The 4,814-nt window shown below is 35.7% G+C and overlaps 1 annotated feature.

Annotated features, from left to right (window-relative positions):
* Window positions 260-1,459: an enhancer, noted in NCBI's record as "CDK7 strongly-dependent group 2 enhancer chr21:17364583-17365782 (GRCh37/hg19 assembly coordinates)". NCBI's record gives its function as "activates an origin of replication core promoter dependent on BRD2, BRD4, P300/CBP, MED14 and CDK7 cofactors, with strong dependence on CDK7, by STARR-seq in HCT116 cells {active_cell/tissue: HCT116}" and the evidence as "EXISTENCE:reporter gene assay evidence [ECO:0000049][PMID:35650434]".

Here is a 4,814-nt window from a genome sequence, read left to right as displayed (position 1 = left end):
ATAATAAATATGCATTTATTCTATAGAAAAGTGAAAAGGAAATCTGTGCCTGTGGAAGATGAAGGAAGGCTTCATAAGACAGGTGAATATTGGAGCTGACTTTTGAGAAAGTAACTCAGTATTTACAAGGTAAGGAAGATTGTGGGCAAGAACTTGTGCAAAAGTTCAAACCCGGCCAAACACGGTGGCTCACACCTGTAATCCAAGCACTTTGGGAGGCTGAGGCAGGCAGATCACCTGAGGTCAGGAGTTCAACACCAACCTGACCAACATGGAGAAACCCCGTCTCTACTAAAAATACAAAAAATTAGCTGGGTGTGGTGGCGCATGCCTGTAATCCCAGCTACTCGGGAGGCTGAGAGGTAGGAGAATCGCTTGAACCTGGGAGTTGGAGGTTGCAGTGAGCGGAGATCACGCCATTGCACCCCAGCCTGGGCAACAAGAGTGAAACTCTGTCTCAAAAAAAAAAAAAAAAGACAAAAAGACATCACCATCTTTCTCTTCCCATTAGTTATCCAGTATCCCCATTTTCCTATTTTCACCTATTCATATCCAGTAGCAATTGTAGTTATTATAACACAAGGGCAATTGAAGTAATCCATATGAAGACAAAGTTCTAGATGAAAATAGAATAAAGGCAATTTAAGATTTTTCATTTGTAAAAGTACAGATCATGAGAAGAATACATAAACATGAAGGACATATTCATTTTCAAATCTAGGATGAGCCAAAAAGGAAGCATGTCCTTGAAACTTGAAGAAAACATTTTTTGGAAAATGAATGCATACTTCTACTCAATGGACTTCATCAGCTTGAAACCCCTGAAAGGTAATAGAGATGAAAGTAAAGAGTTTCAAGAAAACTGTAGATGACTTCATAGATGAGAGAGCCTTATCAAAAGGAAGTCGTACCTTTGAATTTCAATCTCTACTCTTTGTGACACACATCAAAGAAAAATGCTGCCACCCCCCCCACATGAATGGTCCTATGAAAGTTGGAGGCTCCTGAGTTGGATGAGCTTTTGGGATGAGCCATATGATTCTAGTGTTCTTAGTTTCTCAAACATCTTTAAAGCCCCTTGGAAAATAAACAGCAGTAGCTAACCCCAAAGCTTAGAGACAAATACATACCTCCTACATATCTCCGTTTCTGAGTAGTGAGTTGTTAATTTTATGCATCAACTTGGCTGAGCCACAGGGTACACAAACATTTGGTGGCACATTATTCTGGGTGTGTCTCTGAAGGCGTTCTTAAACAAGATTCACATTTGAATCAGTAGACTAAGGAGAGCAGGTCACCCTCCCCAGTATGGGTGACCCTCATCTGACCCATTGAGGGCCTGAATAAACAAAAAGGCTGACCTTTCTGTGAGTAAGAGGGAATTGCTCCTGCCTGACTGCTTGAGCTGAAACATTGGTCATTTCCTGCCTTCAGACTCAACCTGAAACATGGGCTCTTCTTGAGTGTTGAGCTTGTTGGCCTTTGGATGAGAACTATACCATCTTTATTCCTGGGTCTCCAGCTTGATGATTGCATACCTTGGGACTTCTCAGCCTCCACAATCTAAGCCAATTCCTTATAATAAATCATATAGTATATATTATGATATATATATTATATATACTCTATACTACAATAATGTATAGTATTTATGTAGTATCATATTTGGTATATATTATGATATAATATCATATATAAACATATATACTATATATAATTATAATATAGAGTATGTACATAGTATGTATATAATTATATACAGTATATATATCATATATTAACATCTATACTCTATATGTATAATTACATATATTATATGATTTATAATATATACTATATTATATAATACATAATATATAATTTTTTATTACATATACTATGATTTATTATATAGTAATATATAATGATATATAAATATATAATAAAATATATTAATATATATCATGATATGTTATATGATTTTTTATATATTAATATTAATCACATTATGTATGATTTATTGGGTCTGTTTCTCTGAACTTTTTTAGCTCTGTTTCTCTGGAGAACCCTGATTAATACAACTAGATATAAACAAGATAGAATTTTATAAGTTAGTTAAGATGAGCATGTTAATTGAATATTCCTATGTATTTATTTGGTCTGTATGTTTGGTATTTGCTAGTTCCGATATAGCAGAAAGGAATAAAGGCAAACCTCATTTATAAACATACAATCGGGAATGTTAAAGTTGGTTCTCTTTACAGCTAAGAAACTGCAATGCAGTGAGCTTAAACACTTTCTCAAATATACACAGCAAATAAGTGGCAGAACCATCCGTAGCACACCTTTCCTGAGTTCTAGGCTAGTGTCCTATCCTTCACGCAGGCTTCTAAGTTCACATTCATTCTTTCCATGCTTCAGTGCTTAACATGTAAAATGATCTCTGAAGCTAACTCACACTTCCCACTTCATTTACTGTGTACCAATTCTTTCTTTAGAATGCATACATTTGACTGAATAAGCCAGATTCTTGGCCTAGACAAGGAACACATGTTTCTGCGTTAGAAAGAGGTATGGCAGTGAAGGACCAGAAGAGAAGAATGTCTGTGGCTCATGAGTGTCTATCACAGAGAATCCTCTCTAATCCAGCCTGAGGTGGGAAGGAAGTAGGCATTGAGATGGTGCCAACATGCTCAACTGCGAGGAGGTCTGAGAAAGAAATGCCAAGGCCTACAGGGAGGGATTAACCTGGTAGCCTCTTTAAGTCTCCTCATCTTCAGACAGGGCTCTGGAAACCTGAACATGCCATACTCAAAGAACACATCCATCATGAAGAAACACAAAAGTTCGCTTCAAGAGGTTTTCCTTGGATATTTTTATTTGAGGCCCTCAGGGTCCATCAGCTAACTGCGTTTGGTAAATTTCACCACTAACTATTCAATTTTGACACTCTTGGAAGTCTCACTCAATACATAATGATACACAGGCTTGGCAAAAATAAAAATAATAAAATAAAATACAACCTGTAAATTATTTTTGCAAAACATATCTGCTTGCTTCAGAAAAATATGTAGAAAGAAAAAATAAGACATTGACTCAGTTTTCCTGGATAGCTTGTAAAGCTAGATGAAAAAAAACAAATCATTTCAAAAACATTCTAATTTCTAAGAAAGCAAATAAAACAGTCATTTAGTTAAGTGTTTATCACAACTATACTTCTATATCAAATTTATAACAAAATTTTATTTATATAACTGGTATGTTTAATGCATTCCTCCCCAGTCTATGGATTTGAGCACAATTTTGCTAGTTTAAATTATTGCAGACTTTTATAGTTGTATGCTTTTCCCTTCCTTGGTCAGAAATACAACATCTACCACCTATTACAGTTGTTCCTATGGGAAAAATCAATCTTTTTGACAATGAAATAAGTCATGACAATTTCCATGAACATCGCTGATGAAAAGCAAGAATAGCCTGTTATGTGCCCCCACCACATAGAATGGACCAGAGGGGGCAATATCCTAGTGTTTGCCTAGGATAAATCAGTCAGATTTTATGAGTCCTTGCATAGATCTGTTTGCTGTGTCAGAACAAGCCACATGTTCCTAAGAGGATTTCATAGACCTCCAGGTGCTGTTGAGCAGCCGCTTGTCCATTGACAGGAGGGTCAATATCCAAGATTATCTATAGGAAGAATTTGACCTATTCTATGGTTAGTAAGCTGTCTGGGATATATTAGGAGAGCTAGTTATAGGTGACGCTAACTCTATACTCACTTCTCATGTCTCTCTCTTTGTGGATGGACAAGGGATAAATGTGGGTAGGCTTACAAATGGAATCAAATGCTTAATCTGGATGGTGGTGATACATCTAAGAAGAAAATCAATTTTATTAGGAGAAAAACGTTCAAATACAAAGAACAAACTATAGTGCATAAAATTATTTTTCCAGAAGGCTATGGTGTTTAAAGTGGTCTGTGACACCTGTATATTTATTTTCTGGCCCACCACTGTCATGAAGCCACATCATACAAATAAATTCAACATAAATATTATGTCTTAACCAATTAGACTTCACTGAAACTTTCCTTTCCACCTCATGCTAACTTCCATTCCTGCTCATCATATCAACCACCTAATGGAACCTGTCTATCAGTTTCTCCTCAGGAGTTGTAAAAATCTGACAGTGGAAATTGATTGCTAAGTGAAATTACAAATTATGAAGAAGATGTGAGAGTTCATAAAGTTCTTGAAAGTGATTTTGGAGGACTGTTTTTATTTTATGGACAGAAACTGGCAGTGAAAAATTTAGCTGGCTTACTCTAGTTAACTACTGAAGAAAAGACAATTGCCTCAAAAGCAAATGCTAAATATCAAAAGATTAAGAATGGATTTGGGGAAAAGTTATGAAGTTTCCATTTTTTTTAATATGATTCTCTTCATAATTATAAAAGTCACATGTGAAGTTAAAGCCCACTTGGGTCTTCAAAAGCAGTCTGTTGTTTTTAGTAGCCATAAATATTGAAAACAATAGAATCTGCTGAGGGTTTATTCCCTTTCCTTTCATGATCCAGATAACCTACAGCAAATTTAATTACCAGATAACTCTCCCCTAGGCAGAATTCCTGTTTTCAGCTTCCTCATTCAATAATGGAGAGGAGTCCTTCTTACGAAAATGAAGCGAGAACAAAACTTTTACTTTATAGCCTAAGGAGTTCACTTAACCACAATTTGAAATATAGAACAAGGCTGAGAGGTGATAGCAGAATATCAGGGTAAAAGATGAAGAAAAGGGAGATATATAGTTTGAGAACCGTATTTAGTATGAGATTT

Source organism: Homo sapiens, chromosome 21 (assembly GCF_000001405.40).
Source record: "Homo sapiens chromosome 21, GRCh38.p14 Primary Assembly".
Taxonomy (NCBI): domain Eukaryota; kingdom Metazoa; phylum Chordata; class Mammalia; order Primates; family Hominidae; genus Homo; species Homo sapiens.
This window is presented reverse-complemented; position numbering and strand designations above follow the sequence as displayed.